This window comes from Homo sapiens, chromosome X, assembly GCF_000001405.40.
Source record: "Homo sapiens chromosome X, GRCh38.p14 Primary Assembly".
Taxonomy (NCBI): domain Eukaryota; kingdom Metazoa; phylum Chordata; class Mammalia; order Primates; family Hominidae; genus Homo; species Homo sapiens.
Genome location: NC_000023.11, coordinates 123,271,814 through 123,292,260, shown reverse-complemented (window position 1 = coordinate 123,292,260; position 20,447 = coordinate 123,271,814). Strand labels below are relative to the sequence as shown.

The following is a 20,447-nucleotide window of genomic DNA, read 5'->3' as shown; positions in this document are numbered from 1 at the left end:
TTTGCATGCATAAAATAACTCTGATGCACAGTTTTTAAAAATGATCCTGATAGCTAAAATTCAAAGACCTTTCTTTGTGATGGTCCCTATATTGAGCGGGTTAGCTGATGTTTGAATCTCTGCCCCAAATAATTTGAAAGATTAGATGAAATTATGTTCTCAAAGCTCAGTGCAGCTTGGTGGCTAGGAAAAAAAAATAAAACTTGACACACAGCTAGATGCTAGTTTTGGTAATTTATCCCTCTGGAGTAGCTTCATTCTCTGAATTCTGGTTAGCCTGAGGCAAAAGTCAGATCTCCAAGCACATGGTACAGTGTTTGGCACCTAGTAGGTGCCCAGTGAATATGGTTGATCTAAGGGCAGCCAGAGCTCTCCTTTGGTCTTTGGCAGGCATCGTTTGTTGCCTACCCAATATCTATTTCCTCCTTCTTTGCTAACACAATCCTGGTTTTGTTTAAGGTGGCAATGTGCCCAGCTAGATACTTTGTTTCCCAGGCTCCCTTGCAACTGATATTGAGGAGGCGGGCCATGCAATATAGTTCTGGCAAACGAGATGTGAATGGGAAACAAGCATATAGGTGAAAGCCAGGTGATAAGGATGGAGAAGCAAAAAGGAAGAGCTTAGGTCTTTGATGTTATTCTTTTATACTTTCTCTTAAAAATTGTACTTTTTTTCTTTTCTTTTTTTAAAAATAATTTCAACTTTTATTTGAGATTCAGGGGTACATGTGCAGGTTTGTATATTGTGTGATGCTGAAGCTTGGGGTATGATTGCTTTGGCCACCCAGGTACTGAGCATAGCACCCAACAGTTTTTCAACTCTTGCCTTCTTCTCTCCCTCTCTCAGTAGTAGTTCCCGGTGTCTGTTGTTGCCATTTGATGGTATTCTTAAGCAGCAGAAACAATGCCTACAACTACCTGCTTGAAGGCTTTTACTACTTATTTAAAGCACAGATAGTCAAGATTTGCTACTTGCAGCCTTGTTATCTTAATAGATACATATCTACCTACTACCAGGCTTCCAGCACCTTCAAGGCTTTTCAGTTCCTGGCTATTCAGTTCTCCTCAGTAGGGTGCTTTGTCCAGGTCAGCCTGCTATGCCAGTGTGCCCAGTTTCAGGTCTTTCCTGATCTCCATTCACTACCACTATTAAAACCAATAAAGCTTAATCTGTTCTGTGTCCTGTTTCCCTCAGGGCCTTGTGAAGTGATAGAAGCTAATTGAATAAATGCCTGTGTGTTAAAGCTTTAACTTATAGCAGAGTTCTCCACTGTGTTAGCCTCAAAGGGTGACCCCCCTCCATTGTAACAAATGGATTTTGATAGCTGTGGCAGGGAAATCAAGGGACACATTTTGGGTCAGAGAAAGACTTTGGATGCTCATTAACCCCACCTTATAAGTGGCCACCTTCAAAAGGTCTGGCTCCATTTGGAATTATTGTAGGGATGACTTTTTATTACTTTCACAGATTTTATTCAAATTCTCAGTAATATTTGCATGATCCTGAAAAGTAATGCGAAAAAGAGCATTGGATAAGATCCTCTGCAGAAATGTAAAAGTTATTGTGCTATATAAATTGAGAACATGATTATGATGTCTAATGCAAATAATTTTTTTATACATATACCCTTACACACACACACACACACACACACACACACACACACACACACAGTCCTTTGAGGAGAGGGAGCAAGAGAAACAGAATTTAGAAGCCAATTAAAACTGAGCATTAGTGAATTGCACATGTTGGGTGCCCCCTCCCATATAGAGGACTCATCTGTTTGGTTCTGTGTCCTAGCAACCTATATCTCCATAGTGTTTTCTGACCTTCATTAGTTAATCTACTCTGTGTGGAATTGTATTGAGAAGCTCACAATGAAAAACTGTAAGTTATATAGTGACTAGCCCAGAAGACACAAAATATATATTTGCTGTAACTTGACAATAAACCAAAAAGCAAAAACTCGGGCAGACCCATAGCTGGTAAAGCAGGTGAAAGAATTGCATTTCATCCCCTAACTTCCAAAGTCTTCCCCACCCTAGAAAGAAGAGGTGCATGCCAAGTAATGAATTGATAATATTTTAGTGCTATAGGAGGGAGAGTTCCAACCCTTGGGTCTGTTCATCTTTCTCATAATGTTGCTCTCGGTTATTTTCCTCACCATTTTTTTCCTCTCTCAATGTCTCTTTTTCTCCTATATCTTAATGCATCATTTCAATATAAACTATGGCATTTCACAGAACAGTGAAAACACCAATATCAGTATGAAGTATAAATGGCTTTGAAATATCTCCAGAATATATCATAAAGAAGCAGGAGAGAGAAACATTTTAGAACAGAGAAGATAAAAAAATTATAAAAAGTGCATTAAAAAATAAAGGAATGTTTTCCTCACTGGGTGGAATTTGGCAGGGACTAGGGTGGGTACTTTAGCAACCTCAGAAATGTCTCAGTCCAAATGGATTTACATGTCTTGGTTGGGGGGGTGGAGGGTGGTCATGTGTAAGGGTGAAGGAGGGAGGAGCCTTGTGTCTCTTCCAGTCTCACAAGGTTTCTCAAGGGACATGAAGACGCAGGAAAGGGGAAGTGGTGGTCAGTTAGGAGAAATCAGACTTTTTAGTGTCCTTATCCAAACCGAATATTGGGAAAATTCTTTTAATAGGGATTCTCCAATTTCACTGTGCCTCAGAAAAGCCCAATGACTCAAGGCACTTAAGATTCCAGATTCCCAGGTCTCACTTCTAGAAATTCTGATTCACTTGGTCTGTAGTGGGTCACTGCAATTTCCGTTATTTATTATTATCTTTATCTTTATATATATATATATATTTTTTTTAAATTATACTTTAAGTTCTGGGATACATGAGCAGAACGTGCAGGTTTGTTACATAGGTATACACGTGCCATGGTGATTTGCTGCACTCATCAACTCATCATCTACATTATGTATTTCTCCTAATGCTATCCCTCCCCTAGTGCCCCAGACCCTGAAAGGCCCCAGCGTGTGATGTTCCCCTTTCTGTGTCCATGTGTTCTCATTGTTCAACTCCCACTTGTGAGTGAGAAAATGCAGTGTTTGGTTTTCTGTTCCTGCATCAGTTTGCTGAGAATGATGGTTTCCAGCTTCATCCTTGTCCCTGAAAAGGACATGAAGTCATTCTTTTTTATGGCTGCATAGTATTCCATGGTGTATATGTGCCACATTTTCTTTATCCAGTCTATCATTGATGGGCATTTGGGTGGGTTCCAAGTCTTTGCTATTGTGAATAGTGCTGCAATAAACATACGTGTGCATGTGTCTTTATAGTAGAATAATTTATAATCCTTTGGGTGTATACCCAGTAATGCGATTGCTGGGTCAAATGGTATTTCTGGTTCTAGATCCTTGAGGAGTCATCATACTGTCATCCACAATGGTTGAACTAATTTGCACTCCCACCAACAGTGTAAAAGCATTCCTATTTCTCCACATCCTCTCCAGCATCTGTTGTTTCCTGACTTTTTAATGATCGCCATTTTAACTGGCTTGAGATGGTATCTCATTGTGGTTTTGATTTGCATTTCTCTAATAACCAGTAGTGATGAGCTTTTTTTTTCATATGTTTGTTGGCCACGTAAATGTCTTCTTTTGATAAGTGTCTGTTCATATCCTTTGCCCACTTTTAGATGGGGTAATTTGTTTTTTTTCCTGTAAGTTTGTTTAAGTTCCTTGTAGATTCTGGATATTAGCCCTTTGTCAGATGGATAGATTGCAAAGATTTTCTCCCATTCTGTAGGTTGCTTGTTCACTCGATGATAGTTTCTTTTGCTGTGCAGAAGCTCTTTAGTTTAATTAGATCCCATTTGTCAATTCTGGCTTTTGTTGCCATTGCTTTTGGTGTTTTAGTCATGAAGTCTTTGCCCATGCCTATGTCCTGAATGGTATTGCCTAGGTTTTCTTCTAGGGTTTTGATGGTTTTAGGTCTTACATTTAAGTCTATGATCCATCTTGAGTTAATTTTTTTATAAGGTGTAAGGAAGGGGTCCAGTTTCAGTTTTCTGCATAATGCTAGCCAGTTTTCCCAACACCATTTATTAAATAGGGAATCCTTTCCCCATTGCTTGTTTTTCTCAGGTTTGTCAAAGATCAGATGGTTGTAGATGTGTGGCATTATTTCTGAGGCCTCTGTTCTGTTCCATTGGTCTATATATCTGTTTTAGTACCAGTACCATGCTGTTTTGGTTACTGCAGCCTTGTAGTAAAGTTTGAAGTCAGGTAGCGTGATGCCTCCAGCTTTGTTCTTTTTGCTTAGTATTGTCTTGGCTATATGGGCTCTTTTTTGGTCCCTTATGAAATTTAAAGTAGTTTTTTCTAATTCTGTGAAGAAAGTCAATGGTAGCTTGATGGGGATAGCATTAAATCTATAAATTACTTTGGGCAATATGGCCATTTTCACGATATTGATTCTTTCTATCCATGAGCATGGAATGTTTTTCTATTTGTTTGTGTCCTCTCTTATTTCCTTGATCAGTGGTTTGTAGTTGTCCCTGAGGAGGTCTTTCACATCCCTTGTAAGTTGTATTCTTAGGTATTATATCCTGTTTGTAGCAATTGTGAATGGGAGTTTACTCATGAATTGGCTCTCTGTTTGTCTATTATTGGTGTATAGGAATGCTTGTAATTTTTGCACATTGATTTTGTATCCTGAGACTTTGCTGAAGTTGCTTATCAGCTTAAGGAGATTTTGGGCTGAGACGATGGGGTTTTCTAAATATACAATCATGTCATCTGCAAACAGAGACAATTTGACTTCCTGTCTTCCTATATGAATACCCTTTATTTCTTTCTCTTGCCTGATTGCCCTGGCCGGAACTTCCAATACTATGTTGAATAGGAATGGTGAGAGATGGCATCCTTGTCTTGTGTCTCTTTTCAAAGGGAATGCTTCCAGCTTTTGCCCATTCTGTATGATACTGGCTGTGGGTTTGTCATAAATAGATCTTATTATTTCGATGTATGCTCCTTCAATACCTAGTTTATTGAGAGTTTTTAGCATGGAGGGGTGCTGAATCTTATCGAAGGCCTTTTCTGCATCTATTGAGATAATCATGTGGTTTTTGTCATTGGTTCTGTTTATGTGATGGATTATGTGTATTGATTTGCGTATGTTGAATCAGCTTTGCATCCCAGGGATGAAGCCAACTTGATCGTGGTGGATAAGCTTTTTGATGTGCTGCTGGATTTGGTTTGCCAGTATTTTATTGAGGATTTTTGCATCGATGTTCATCAGGGATATTGGCCTGAAATTTTCTTTTTTTGTTGTGTCTGTCCCAGGTTTTGGTATCAGGATGATGCTGGCCTCATAAAATAAGTTAGGGAGATGTCCCTCTTTTTCTGTAGTTTGGAATAGTTTCAGAAGGAATGGTACCAGCTCCTCTTTGTATCTCTGGTAAAATTTGGCTGCGAATCCGTCTGGTCCTTGGTTCTTTTTGGTTGGTAGGCTATTAATTATTGCCCCAATTTCGGAACTTGTTATTGGTGTATTCAGGGATTCGACTTTTTCCTGGTTTAGTCTTGGAAGGGTGTGTGTGTCCAGGAATTTATCCATTTCATCTAGATTTTCTGGTTTATTTGCGTAGAGGTGTTTATAGTACTCTCTGATGGTAGTTTGTATTTCTGTGGGATCAGTGATGATGTCCCTTTATCGGTTTTTATTGTGTCTATTTGATTCTTCTCTCTTTTATTCTTTATTAGTCTGGTTAGTGGTCTATTTCGTTAATCTTTTCAAAACAGCAGCTCCTGGATTCACTGATTTTTTGAAGGGTTTTTCGTGTCTCTATCTCCTTTCGTTCTGCTCTGATCTTAGTTATTTCTTGTCTTCTGCTAGGTTTTGAATTTGTTTGCTCTTGCTTCTCTAGTTCTTTTAATTGTGATGTTAGGGTGTCGAATTTAGATCTTTCCATCTTTCTGATGTGGGCATTTAGTGCTGTAAATTTCCCTCTAAACACTGCTTTAGCTGTATCCCAGAGATGCTGGTACATTCTGTCTTTGTTCTCATTGGTTTCAAAGAACTTATTTATTTCTGCCTTAATTTTGTTATTTACCCAGTAGTCATTCAGGAGCAGGTTGTTCAGTTTCCAGGTAGTCGCGCAGTTTTGAGTGAGTTTCTTAATCCTGAGTTCTAATTTGATTGCACTGTGGTCTGAGAGACTGTTTGTTATGATTTCTGTTCTTTTGCATTTGCTGAGGAGTGTTTTACTTCCAATCATGTGGTCAGTTTTAGAATAAGTGTGATGTGGTGCTGAGAAGAATGTATATTCTGTTGATTTGGGGTGGAGAGTTCTGTAGATTTCTATTAGGTCCACTTGGTCCAGAGCTGAGTTCAAGTCCTGAATATCCTTGTTAATTTTCTGTCTTGTTGATCTGTCTAATATTGACAGTGGGGTGTTAAAATCTCCCACTGTTATTGTGTGGGAGACTAAGTCTCTTTGTAGGTCTCTAAGAACTTGCTTTATGAATCTGGGTACTCCTGTCTTGGGTGCAAATATATTTAGGATAGTTAGCTCTTCTTGTTGCATTGATCCCTTTACCATTATGTAATTCCCTTCTTTGTCTTTTTTGGTCTTTGTTGGTTTAAAGTTTGTTTTATCAGAGACTAGGACTGCAACCCCTGCTTTTTTTTTTTTTTTTTTTTTTTTTGCTTTTCATTTGCTTGGAAAGTATTTTTCCATCCCTTTATTTTGAGCCTATGTGTGTCTTTGCATGTGAGATGGGTCTCCTGAATACAGCACACCGATGGGCCTTGACTCTTGATCCAATTTGCCAGTCTGTGTCTTTTAATTGCGGCATTTATCCTGTTTACATTTAAGGGTAATATTGTTATGTGTGAATTTGATCCTGTCATTATGATGCCAGCTGGTTATTTTGCCCATTGGTTGGTGCAGTTTCTGCATAGTGTCAATGGTCTTTACAATTTATATGTTTTTGCGGTGGCTGGTACCGGTTTTTCCATTCAGTATATAGTGCTTCCTTCAGGAGCTCTTGTAAGGCAGGACTGGCAGTGACAAAATCTCTCAGCATTTGCTTGTCTGTAAAGGATTTTATTTCTTCTTTGCTTATGAAGCTTAGTTTGGCTGGATATGAAATTCTGGGCTGAAAATTCTTTTCTTTAAGAATGTTGAATATTGGCCCCCACTCTCTTCTGGCTTGTAGGGTTTCTGCCGAGAAATCCACTGTTAGTCTGATGGGCTTCCCTTTGTGGGTAACCCGACCTTTCTCTCTGGCTGCCCTTAACATTTTTTCCTTCATTTCAACCTTGGTGAATCTGATGATTATGTGTCTTGGGGTTGCTCTTCTCGAGGAGTATCTTTGTGGTGTTCTCTGTATTTCCTGAATTTGAATGTTGGCCTGTCTTGCTAGGTTGGGGAAGTTCTCCTGGATAGTATCCTGAATAGTGTTTTCCAACTTGGTTCCATTCTCCCTGTCACTTTGAGGTACACCAATCAAATGCCGGTTTAGTCTTTTCACACAGTCCCATATTTCTTGGAGGCTTTGTTTGTTCCTTTACATTCTTTTTTCTCTAATCTTGTCTTCACGCTTTATTTCATTAAGTGGATCTTCAATCTCTGATATCCTTTTTTTCTGCTTGATCGATTCAGCTATGATTCTTATGTATGCTCCATGAAGTTCTCGTGCTGTGTTTTTCAGCTCCATCAGGTCATTTATGTTCTTCTCTAAACTGGTTATTCTGGTTAGCAATTCCTCTAACCTTTTTTGAAGGTTCTTAGCTTCCTTGCATTGGGTTAAAACATGCTCCTTTAGCTCGGAGGAGGTTGCTATTACCAACCCTCTGAAGCCTACTTCTGTCAATTCCTCAAACTCATTCTCAGTCCAGGTTTATTCCCTTGCTAGCGAGGAGTTGTGATCCTTTGGAGTTGAAGAGGCATTCTGGTTTTTGGAATTTTCAGCCTTTTTGTGCCGGTTTTTCTTATCTTCTTGGATTTATCTACCTTTGGTCTTTGATGTTGGTGACCTTCAGATGGGGTTTCTGTGTGGACATCCTTTTTGTTGATGTTGATGCTATTCCTTTCTGTTTGTTAGTTTTCCTTCTAACAGTCAGGCCCCTCTGCTGCCAGTCTGCTGGAGTTTGCTGGAAGTCCACTCCAGACCCTGTTTGCCTGGTTATTACCAGCAGAGGCTGCAGAACAGCAAAGATTGCTGCCTGTTCCTTCCTGTGGAAGATTCGTCCCATAGGGCCACCTGCCAGATGCCAGCTGGAGCTCTCCTGTATGAGGTGTCTTTTGCCCCCTGTTGGGAGGTGTCTCCTAGTCAGGAGGCATGGGGGTCAGGGACCCACTTGAGGAGGCCATCTGTCCCTTAGCAGAGCTTCAGCACTGTGCTGGGAGATCTGCTGCTCTCTTCAGAGCCAGCAGGCAGGAACACTGAAGTCTACTGAAGCTGTGCCCACAGCCACCCCTTCCTCCAGGTGCTCTGTCCCAGAGAGATAGGAGTTTTATCTATAAGCTCCTGACTGGGGCTGCTGCCTTTCTTTCAGAGATGCCCTGCCCAGAGAAGGGGAATCTAGAGAGGGAGTCTGGTTACAGCTGCTTTGCCAAGCTGCAGTGGGCTCTGCCGAGTTTGAACTTCCCAGGTGGCTTTGTTTACACTGTGAGGGGAAAACCGCCTACTCAAGTCTCGGTAATGGTGGACGCCCCTCCCCCCACCAAGCTCCAGCATCTCAGGTCGACTTCAGAGTGCTGTGCTGGCAGCGAGAATTTCAAGCCAGTGGATCTTAGCTTGCTGGGCTCCATGAGGGTGGGGTCTGCTGAGCTAGACCTCTTGGATTTCTGGCTTCAGCCCCCTTTCCAGGGCAGTGAATGGTTCTGTCTCGCTGGCATTCCAGATGCCACTGGGGTATGAAAAAAAAATCCTGCAGCTAGCTCGGTGTCTGCCCAAATGGCTGCCCAGTTTTGTGCTTGAAACCCAGGGCCCTGGTGGCATAGGCACCCGAGGGAATCTCCTGGTGTATGGATTGTGAAGACTGTGGGAAAAGCATAGTATCTGGGTCAGAGTGCACCATTCCTTATGGCACAGTCTGTCACGGCTTCCCTTGGCTAAGGGAGGGAGTTCCCCGACCCCTTGTGCTTCCCGGATGAGGCAATGCCCCACCCTGCTTTGGCTCGCCTTTCGTGGGCTGCACCCACTGTCTAACCAGTCCCCATGAAGTAAGCTGGGTACATCAGTTGGAAATGCAGAAATCACCTGCCTTCTGTGTTGATCTCACTGGGAGCTGCAGACCGGAGCTGTTCCTATTTGGCCGTCTTGCCAGCCACCCATGTTTTCATTTTTAATCTGTCATTATTATATTTTTTGAGACATTGTCTCACTCTGTCACCCAGGATGAAGTGCAGTGGTGCAATCTCGGCTCACTGCAACCTCCACCTCCCTGGTACAAGCGATTCTCTTGCCTCAGTCTCCCCAGTAGCTGGGATTACAGGCACGTGCAACCACACACAACTAGTTCTTATATTTTTAGTAGAGACAGGGTTTCGCCATGTTGGCCAGACTGATCTAAAACTTCTGGCCTTAAGTGATCTGCCCACCTTGGCCTCCCAAAGTGGTGGGATTATAAGCATGAGCCACTGCTCCCAGCCTGTAATTTTCGTTATTAATAAAGACACCGAATGATTCTGCCACTGTTCATCTGAGGACTGGAGTATGAGAAACGCTGCCTTTGGCGATGGGGAGAGGTGGTCCTCTCTTCTGCCTCCTTCTGGACTCTAAAGCAGAGGGTTTTCCTATTTCTAGAGAAACCAGGCAGTGAAGGAAGCAAATGTTTCCATTTGAAGTGGTGCCAGCCAGTGCATTTGTGGTAAGAAAATGGGATTGTTTTTCAGATATCAGAAAGATTTATTTCTGTGACTGCAGTGCATGGACATGTAGCCCTGTGAGGGCAGTGAAGGGAAAGAGGAGGGGGACACAGGGTAGTCCGTATAATACTACAGATCATTGTTTCCTTTTGTTTTAATTTTCTTTCATGCATATATTCTGAAATATCACTTTTAACTCCAAGACAGTCATACAATTTTAAATGATGCCTAAGCTAGTGACTCTCAAATTGTGTTCTTTGTACTAGCAGCATTGGCATCACCTGGGAACTTGTTAAAAATGCAGATTCTCAGAGTTCCACCTGTAGACTTAATGAAGCAGAAACTGTGAGGCTGAGGCCCAGTAATTGGTGTTTTAACAAGTCCTCCAGATGATTTCTGAGGCATGCTAGAGTTGGTTCTTGCAACTACTGCTATAAGGTAGTTGGCAACCAACTACCTTATAAACTCTCCAAGGCCACACTCTGAGTCCTATGTATCTTGTGTGTCCTTATTCCTATCCAACCTCCACCATGGGATGTGGTGTTCATCACAGAGCAGGTAATCATTAAATTATTGCTCTAAGCAGCTGCCATTCTTTAGTGTCTTAATTCCTTCATTTTCAGTAAGAAAATTAAAATTTTATCAGTTGATCTTGATAGTCATCTTATGAAGTTGGTGGAGCAGGCAATTTTCAGGATGTCAGGGAAGGAGCTGGGAAGGCTATATGTATTTGTAACATGCTCCTAGGGCATTCTGATGATAAGTGAGCTTTAGTAAGCACCATAGGAAAAGGAATGTGTGGCTAGGTTTAAGGTACCATGACAAGCTTGTTTAATCTCAGGAATCACTTCTGTAAAACGGAATCATGACACCTGCAGTACCAACTTCATAAAATTACTATAAAGATCAACAGAGATAATTTCTTTTTATTTCTTAAAAGACATACAAGCAATCTAAGAACACACATTCTCCCTTCTTTTCAAATACTAGAATTCTTTGGCCACTCAGAAGTCCAGCAGTTATTGTTAGAGACACTAAAACCTTCTGAAGAAAATTTATTTCCACAGACAATGATGCCATAGACAAGTAAAGTGTCCTCAATGTGAGGATGCAAATGAACATTTAGTATGCCAAGATCATATTATGCAAAATAAATAGCTCTCAACTGGAGTGCTTAAGGACACTCTTCTGGCAGCTGTCATTATCTTAGCCATGACTTTCACCTAAGCTATTCTGAGTGCTACTAAAGTTTGAGTATATATTCATATATTACTCCTACTGTGTTGAGATTAGCTGAGCTCAGTGTGGCCTGCTTGGGAGGAAGTCAATACAAATATAGTAAAACTAGAATTGACATGGATATTGCATGTGCTGAAAAGAACACTAGACTGGGACTTCAAAAACTTGATAATCTCGGCCTTGAGTAAGTCACTTAGCATCTCTAGGTTTCAGCTTATAAAATGAAGAGTCAGTCTCCCGAGAGTATAATGAAGATCAAGTGAATCCAGGTGTGAAAATGTATGGAAAAGTTGAATGTATTGTTACATTAAATTTTGTTTAGCCAGAAACTTCAGTTAGCATAATTGTCCTCTTCCGTTGTCCTTGACTTAAAAGAGGCAATACACAATAAACCTCTCACATTGGAAATTTCACCAAAGCTATGTCCAGAACTCAGCTCATGTATAGTTTTATCTATATTCATTTCTAACTCTGGACATTAAAAATAGATGTTCAAAATAATAACTCTAAAACCCTGAAAGAGCCTCAAGTACCGAAGATTCAATCATATTTTTAAGGTGGGACATGAAACCAGACATTTCAGAAAATATGCCAAAAGTAGACCAAACTAGATACGTTGTTTCAACATTCTTGTAGTTGCAGCTAAACCCAGTTTATCAGAATATTCTTTTAATTAGAACAGTCCATTACCCGAGAATTTTGATGAACTAATCCTCAGCTACCTTATTTTTAATAATAAAAAAGAGTGTATTTAATTTGGCATTCCGCCACAGAACCAGTTTGATAGCCAGACCCAAAAGCACCACAAAAAAAGATGAAGTGGTTTTTTTGTACAGTTTAGAGGCAAAAGATGAATGTGAAATAAAGTGAGACTATAGTGAAAAGAAGAAATGTCTGCGTGTTTTGGTTTCCATGTCTAAAACCTTAGGGTGTCTTTTCAAGATGAACTCAGGAGTGTGGCTGTGATTGAGAATCAAGAAAGTGATGAATGATTTGCCCTGGGAGCCCTATTTGGAGCTATGATATTCATTTGTGAAGTGTGAGCTGCTGATCTTCATTTGATTCTTTTTCTCTGGTTGCAAGATGGAGTTACAAATGTCTACAATCCTTCAAACTTTCAGTTTTATGCACAGTTGGGAATGGAGTACCTTGATTCATCAAATAGTCTAGTTTAACAGAGTGCTTCCCTATTCACTTTATAGGGATTTGTGATTTTCAAAGAGTAAATATAAAGCAAAATATAATTATAATGTTGTATCAATTTGAACATAATTTTGTCTTTCTTTGGTAATTTAGGGAGGTACTTCAAGACCTTAAAGAGTTCCTGAGCCATAGGTAGAACTCCAGGTCCCCATATGTTGTTGATGTGCAGAGGGCTGGCTAATAGAGAAGTCTTTGGGAAATTAACATGCTGGGAAATCAGCTTTGTTGTGCTATTCTGCTGGGGCTTGTAGGGATGCTATCTGAATTAGTTAGAATATTCCCCGCCTACTTCTTCCTCCCTCTGCCAGCTCCTCTCAGTCCTCTTCACCTTGCATACTTCTGTACATCCATCTGCCTGCTGTTTTGAAACTTCTATTTCCTTGAAACAAAGCAATTCCATATGAAAGGAGAAAGCTTTGAACCAACGTCCAAACTTGAAATCTGTTGGCTCTATATAAAAAAAATTTTTAATTGACAGATAACATTGTATGTTTTTATTGTGTACAACATGATGTTTTGAAGTACATATACATTGTGTCATGGTTAGATCTAGCTAATTAACAAATTTATTATTATTATTTTTGTGGTAAGAGCACATAACATCCACTGTCTTTACATTTTTCAAAAATACAATATTGTTACCTATAGTAACCTTGCTGCACAATAGATTTCTTGAAATTTCTTCCTCCTATATAACTGTAATTATGTATCCTTTGACCAACTTCTTCCCATCACCTACTCCCACTCCTAACCACCCTATCCTCTGGTAACCACCATTTTATTCTCTACATCTATAAGATCAATGTTTTTAGATTCCATGTATGACTGAGATCATGCAGTGTGTGTCTTTCTGTGCATGGCTTATTTCACTTAATGAAGAAGACACAAATAAATAGGAATATATCCCATGTTCATGGATTGGGAGAATTAATATTGTTAAAATATCCATACTACCCAAAGTGATCTACAGACTCAATGCAATCCCTATTGAAATACTAATAATATTCTTCATAAAAATAGAAAAAAATGCTAAAATTTATATGGAACCACAAAAGGCCCAGAATAGCCCAAGCAATTCTGAGCAAAAAGAACAAAGCTGGAGGCATCACATTACTTGATTTCAAAGTATACTACAAAGCCATAACAACCAAAATAGCATGAAACTGGCATAAAAATGGACACATAGACCAATGGAAGAGAATAGAAAACCCAGAAATAAATCCATGCATTTACAACCAATTGATTTTTGGCCAAGATGCCAAGAGCACACATTTGGGAAAAGGACAGCCTCTTTAATACATGGTGTTGGCAAATCTGGATATCCACAGGCATAAGAAAGAAATTAGGCCCATACCTCTCATCATATGCAAAAATAAACTCAAAATAGATGAAAAACTTAACTGTAAGACCAGAAACTATAAAAGTACTGGAAGAAAACACAGGGGAAACACTTCAGGACATTGGTGTAGGCAAAGATTTTATGGCTAAGACCTCAAAAGTACAGGCAACAAAAACCAAAATAGACAAATGGGACTATATTAAAGTAAAAAGCTTCTGAACAGCAAAGGAAATAATCAACAGAGTGGGGACACAACCTACAGCATGGGAGAAAATATTTGCACACTATACATGTGACAAGGGGTTAATATCCATTGACTCTTTTAAATGACTTATTTTGAGGACAATAAAAACAAATGGTGGTATAGTCCTTGTCTAGGGTTTTGGAGTACATCTGCCACCTGGTGGGGAGGGGACTCTTCCAAGAAGCCAAAACTGATCCTGCACTCTCAAGAGTAGAATGCTCACCATTGTACATGGAACTGCTTCTGCACTCTCATCAAAGAAGCTGCTTTACCTGGAAATCTGGGCTATCTGTGATCGTTGAAACGTTGACTGCTTATGAAGCCTGCAGCCTGTTGTGGGGACCTAGGTAACTATTTTGTTCAAAATGACTGCTGACTTTTCTTACTATGAGTCAAAGCTTGATTCGAATTTCAAAGCTGGAAGGGACTTCAGAGATCATCCAGTTCAAGGATTTTCAACCCTGGCATTCCCTAGAATCACATGAGGAAGTTAAAAGTCTAGGCCCCACCCCACATCATTATCTCATTTTCCTCATTGTCTTACTTGATGGTCATGAAAATCAGGAAAGTAGATATTATTGGCTGCATTTCACAGATAGGTAAACAAGCTCAGTGATGCAAAGTGGCAGGTCCCAACACGACATAGAACTGTGATTTGAGAACAGGTCCTTTGAATCCATTTTGAATGTGAGACCTTTGTATTCTCTGTAAGTGTTGGAACCCTTCCTGTCACTTTTGGGGAGCAACCAGTCAACAGAGTGACATGATATTCAGACCTCTGTAGTTATTTACTCAGGCTTCCTGAGAGAGGCGAGTTTGAGCCAGGTCTCAACATGCACTGGCTCTATCTATTCTCAGAGAGGAAATCCATTGTGTCCTTCCTACATCACGAGGCCTTACTTCCTTAGTGTGGCATAGGAGACCTTTCATCCTCAGACTCCTACCCCTTTTTCTAGCTTCATTCCTCGCTTCTTGTTTTCTGCTTTTCTGCTGAAAAGTTTGTAGGAACCAGACTGCAGGGCACTTGAAATATCTACTATTTGATAGCACAATAGGGCAACTATAGTCAATAATACTTAATTGTATATTTTAAAATATCTTAAAGAATGTAATTAAATTGTTTGTAACTCAAAGGATAAATGCTTAAGGGGATGGATGCCCCATTCTCCATGATGTGCGTATTTCACATTGCATGTCTGTATCAAAACATCTCATGTACCCCATGAATAAATACACCTACAATGTACTCACAATTTTTTTTTAATAATTAAAAAAAAAGTTAAAAAAAAAACAGGCAGAGGAGTTCAAACTTTAGTTTCTAGAGTGGTGCTGTCCAATAGAGCTTTCATTGCAGAAATAAAATGCAATGATAGAAATGTTCTCTATTTGCACTGTCCAATACAGTAGCCACTATCTGCATCTAGCTTTTGAAATTTGCAATGTGGGTAATTAAACTGAGGAACTTCATTTTAAATTTTATTTAATCATAATTAACTTAAAGTTATGTTTAAATAGCGACATGTGTCTAGTAGTTACCATACTGTCTCTAATACACTGCTCTAGAGGTACAGCTCTAGAGGCAGTAGGGAAGGACACAATAATGACATACTTTAGGAAAAGTTCTCTGGCAGAATTATGTCATGTGAGATGTTCCAGAGGGGATTATGTAAAGACTAAGGCTATGAGCACTAAAGTTAGACTGCCTGGATACAAATTCCAGTTGTATTATCTGTGTAACTTTGGGAGCATCATTTAAGCTCTCTGAGCCTCTATGTCCTCACCTGCAAAATAAAAACAGTAACACCGCCTAGATCATAGAATTATTGTGAGGATGACATAAGATAAAATCCATGAATTGTTTTAGTGCATTGGCTGGCATAGAATAGGCATACCTCTGTATAGTTTACAAATTTTCATCAGCTCATGGCTCAGTGAGGGAGGAAAGGGGGAGAGATTCTGTGTTGCTCAGCTGTTATACAGGACCCAGCTGCATCTCTGTCAATTAAAAAATGTAATAGTCTCAAAATCATCACCTAGATATGAGAGTTTATGGAAAGGATGGAAAAAGTAATCCCAAGGGAGGGAGTAGGTTGTAAGGAGAGGAATCAGAGTGACTGTTTTCCAAATGAGCTTCAAAAAAGAAAGCTTGAAACCAGCAGGTTCTGGAACTAAAAGAAAATGCACTAGAATAGCAAGAATATGGAGGAGAAAAATTGCACCCATTCAGAATCTCCAGAAATGCATCCTTGGATAGTGGATGGAGCAATGGATTGAGAGTCAAGAGACAGCCACTGACCTGCTGTGTGACCCTAGGTAAGTCATTTTCCCTCTCTGGGCCTTTGTCTTTTCATATGGAGAAATAATGGGTTAGACTAAATTTATTTGTTTTAAAAATACTCAATGTGTATGTTTGGGGGAAATGTATGCAGATATAAATATAAATAAAATAATCCTTGGCCTCAAAATGCTTACATTCTTTTTGGAGAGACAGATAGAAGCTAGATACAATGATACACGAAAAGGCACATTTGGAGCTTAAAGGAACAAATGCTTCCAACTGGGAAAATGGGAAAGCCTTCATGGAGGAGGTGTTAATATGTGTCTTAAAGGATAACTAAGATATCAGCCAACTTAACAGATCAAGGTCAGTTCCAAGTTCCAAAGTACTATCAGATATGTATGATCTCTTTAAGTGTCCGTGTAATTCACACTTTAAATTCGTAGTTCTAGGATACTTTCAAGAGCCCAGTGGTGGTTAGTTCATTTAATTAGAACATGATGATGCTGAGAAAGTCACTAGGCTCCTTCTGCCCTAGATCCATGCAGTGTACCTTTAACCTTTCTACCTGTTTGACAAATGGGTGTCTCTTGCACCAGTGAAATACTGGAAAATGTGGTGGGAAGGGCTCAGTAAATCCATCCCACTTCTGGGAAAATGTCTTCAAGAACAGATTAGAGAAGTGGTAAAGCCTAGTGGTCAAATATGTGGGCCTTGGCCCCTGACTGCCTAAGTTTGATTTTCTGCTTCATCATTCAATAGTTGTGTGAATCTGGGCAAGCTACACAATCTCTCTGTGTCCCATAAAATGTGGATGACAGTCCTCATAGGATTGTCATCAGGATTAAATGAGCGAATTCATGCAAAGTATATAGAACAGTGCCTGACACATAAGTGCTCACATAGGTTTGCTATTGTTATAATTATCTTTGTTATTATTATTTATAATATTGTTATATTATTATTGTTATTATTATTGTTATTATCCTTGTTATTGCTACTCAAAGGCCTCATTTCTGGAGTTTGCATTCCTTCGCTTCTGTTGTTATCTTACATATGAGTCAGTCTACTGTTTGTGTTCTAATTTAGTCATTTTCTCAATTTGAATGCCTTGGTAGGTGCGTTAGCCACTGGACTGGACTGACTAGCAGGAGCCTAGTGCTGCCTTTTCCCATGGGCCCAGTTTAGCTTCCATAGTGTCAGTCTACAAACTTGCTTGACACTGGGAAAAATTTTAATTCTGGTGTTGTGCAAATTGCTAATTAGGGTTGTAAACATTCTCCACTTCACTTCCCTAATATTTTTTTGGTCATGGAATTCTTCCCACTGTCACTCTTGGGGTCTGCGCCTGGTGCTTAATTACATTTGGGCAGCCTCACTGTCTGTGCAGTGGCCTGGTAGCGCCCTCCATCCCACCTTGATGTTTGCTTGGGATATGCCTTCTGAGGCCCAGATCACTTAGAGAACACAGGGGCTGGCATTTGCCAAAACATGTTCCTTTTTCATTTATCAAAAAGCAAAATAGAACAGAACAGTATAGCATAGCAGATGGGAGGAGGGGTTGGTGATGAGAGGCAAATGGGACTAGTTCTATTTTCTGAAAAGACCTAGTGACATTACTTTTATGTCATGGACAAGTGACTAGGTAAGACCAGTCTCATGATGGGATACTCTTTCCCATGTCTGCTTTCGCTTTTTCTTTCTCATTGCCCTCACCCCTCCACCAGTGTTCCATGCTATAGGATTGGTCACAAGCAAGTGTCATGAGGAAGCAGATGCCTAATAGGTACTTTTTGATGGTTATGCGCAGCGGAACAGATCTTACAATTAAGTTTGGGTTACCAGATCTAGCAAATAAAAAGACAGGAAACACAGTAAATTTGAATTTCAAATAAACAACAAATAATTTTTAGTGTATGTCCCATGCGATATTTAGGACATGCTTATACTTAAAAAGTATTTGTTATTCATCTGAAACTGAATTTAATGGGATGTCCTATATTTCATCTGGTAACCCTAAATTAGGCAGAATAGATGGTCACTTAGGTAGCATAAGTTAAAGGCCTGAGAAGCCCATTTGCCCAATGATATTGCTCTCACTGGCCTGGCTCATTGCTTGAAGTATTTGTCATATACAGTATCCTTGAGTAAAGTTTTAGAAGCTTCTGTCAAAAAATGTGTATGACCTAAGAGAGGTTGCATATTGAGCCATTAATCAGCATTTAATTTAATGCCTTAGCCCAGATTAGCTCTATGGGTGAGTTCACTGATCATCTCATAAAGTCTAGATAAAATGAGACACAAAACAGGTGAGTTTAATTTGAGCGAGAAGAAGTGGGATAGGACTAGAGACAGAGTGATGTCCAAGAATGGGCACCAGAATGGAAAGTCCAGAGTTAAGTTCATATACAGAAAGTCATCTATATGATAGGAATGAAGAGGTCTTGGGCCCCCGTGGCCACAATGCCTGATAGGTCACCATTAGTCTTCCTTTTGGGTTACCATTGCTTTCTCTCCAGTCCTCCTTCCTGATGAGAGGCAGCCTTGTATAATGAAAAGATCCCAGATCTTAGAGTCAGACCTAAGTTCAAGTCTTAACTCTGCAACTTACAAACTGTGTGACTTAGGTTGGGCAAGCAGGGGTTCTCTTTTTTATTTCTTCATTTTTAAGGCTGGGAAAATGATTTTTGCCTTGGAATTCTTGTCAATTCTCATCTGATTGTTGTGAGGAGTGAATGGAAACACTCTATGTATAAGTCCTTTGAAAACAGGTACTGACAAAACGCTTTTGAAGCATTAAAATGCATGTCTTCCTGAGAGAGGGGCAGCACAGTCAACCAGTCCTGGTTACCTGGTGTATCACATAACTGTTCTCCTTGAGAGGGGAAGATGGTCCCACAAGAAAGCTAGGAATATCAGTGGTGGGTGCTGCCATCGGGCTTATGTGGTGGGGACGAAGGGCCCAGGCAAAGAAAGCTGTGACTTCCTCCCCCGACTACCAAATAAACTGCCAGCTCTAGCATTTTGCCAACGACTGATCCTATGACATGAGCTCAGAGCAGGAAGGCCGGACTGTAGGGAGGAGGTACGGAAGACTCCCTTGAAATACTGCGGGTGGCATTCACCAGCTCTCAAGGAAGAGCTCCAAGTTTAGGGGGACAGGTGGCCAGCGGAGGTTTTGAATCTACCAGAGGAAATTATCCTCCCTCTGTGTGCCCAGGATAAGATCTCAGAGCCAGGGAATGTTTGTAAATGGACTCTCTCATTTAAATAAATCCCACTTAAATATTTATCAGATCATGAATATGCATGTTTCTCTCTCTCAGTGCTGGAAAGAGAACGGGTGTGTAATTTTTAGATGGCACATAAATAATGTAAGGGGGAAAAAGGGATCTTTGTTCTGTGTTGACTGTGTATTTACAGCATCTCAAGAGGTCTTGAAATAATGAACTGATTTTTCCCTTTCCCAGTCTAAATGTGCACTTGGAGCTTCACCTGTCCTGTCTTTAGGGTGATTTGCACACATTTGTATCCCCAGGGGAGGATTTCTGGAGGCAAGAAAATGAGAAAGGTCAACTTCCAATTACTAGTGAGTTAGCCAAGGCAACCCTTCAGCATCCCGCCTAACTGGCTGTCCCCACCTCAGATTGGGATGGGAAGGGTGGAAAGCAGGTTTGCTTCTGCACCCACTATTCAGAGGCTCAAAGGTGAAGGCCTAGAAGGAACTTCTTTAAAAAGCAAATGTCACTGAGGCGGGTAGCCACTATTCTCCCTAGCCATGAACACTTGGACTTGGCTCCATGCATCTAGTGGAATTCTAGGGAAAAGGGAACAGAGCAGTTTTGATGAGGTCTGTGGGGTAGGTTGAAACGTGGTTAGGGCCCCAGGCTCCCCATAGGAGGAAGGAAACTACAGACTGACTATACCTACTTTGCCCTTCTATTTGGCTGAGAACCAGATGTGACTGACGCCCAAGGCATGAATAAGTAAGAGAGGATGTATCCCTATCCCTGAGTTCTCTCTGCTGGACTCTGTGTTCCTAACTGTCCTCCCACATTTGCACATTCATGGCTTTGGGATTAGGCATGATGTGCTTGTATTCTAAACTTCTCCCCCTCTGCCTGTATGTGGAATTGAGAGAGGACTGAGTTACCCTTTTTCCCTAAAGCATCTTTAAAAGTAACATCCTTTCTTTGCTAATAGGAGAGTTGAAAGTGGCTGTCAGTATGGAGTGACAGGAAGAACACTTTCACTGGGAGTTAGGAATCAGGGCGTCTAGCACTGGCTCCAC

General features: G+C 40.3%; 1 protein-coding gene across 2 annotated transcripts in view, besides 1 other annotated feature; it reads right to left on the bottom strand.

The window, feature by feature from the left end:
* GRIA3 (glutamate ionotropic receptor AMPA type subunit 3) overlaps positions 1-20,447 on the bottom strand; it is a 306,638-nt gene that overhangs the window by 198,655 nt on the left and 87,536 nt on the right. The window lies entirely within an intron of this gene.
* Positions 8,972-9,473: an enhancer, noted in NCBI's record as "H3K4me1 hESC enhancer chrX:122416639-122417140 (GRCh37/hg19 assembly coordinates)". NCBI's record gives its function as "activates a minimal SCP1, AML or CMV promoter by ChIP-STARR-seq in naive H9 embryonic stem cells {active_cell/tissue: H9 hESC(naive)}" and the evidence as "EXISTENCE:reporter gene assay evidence [ECO:0000049][PMID:30033119]".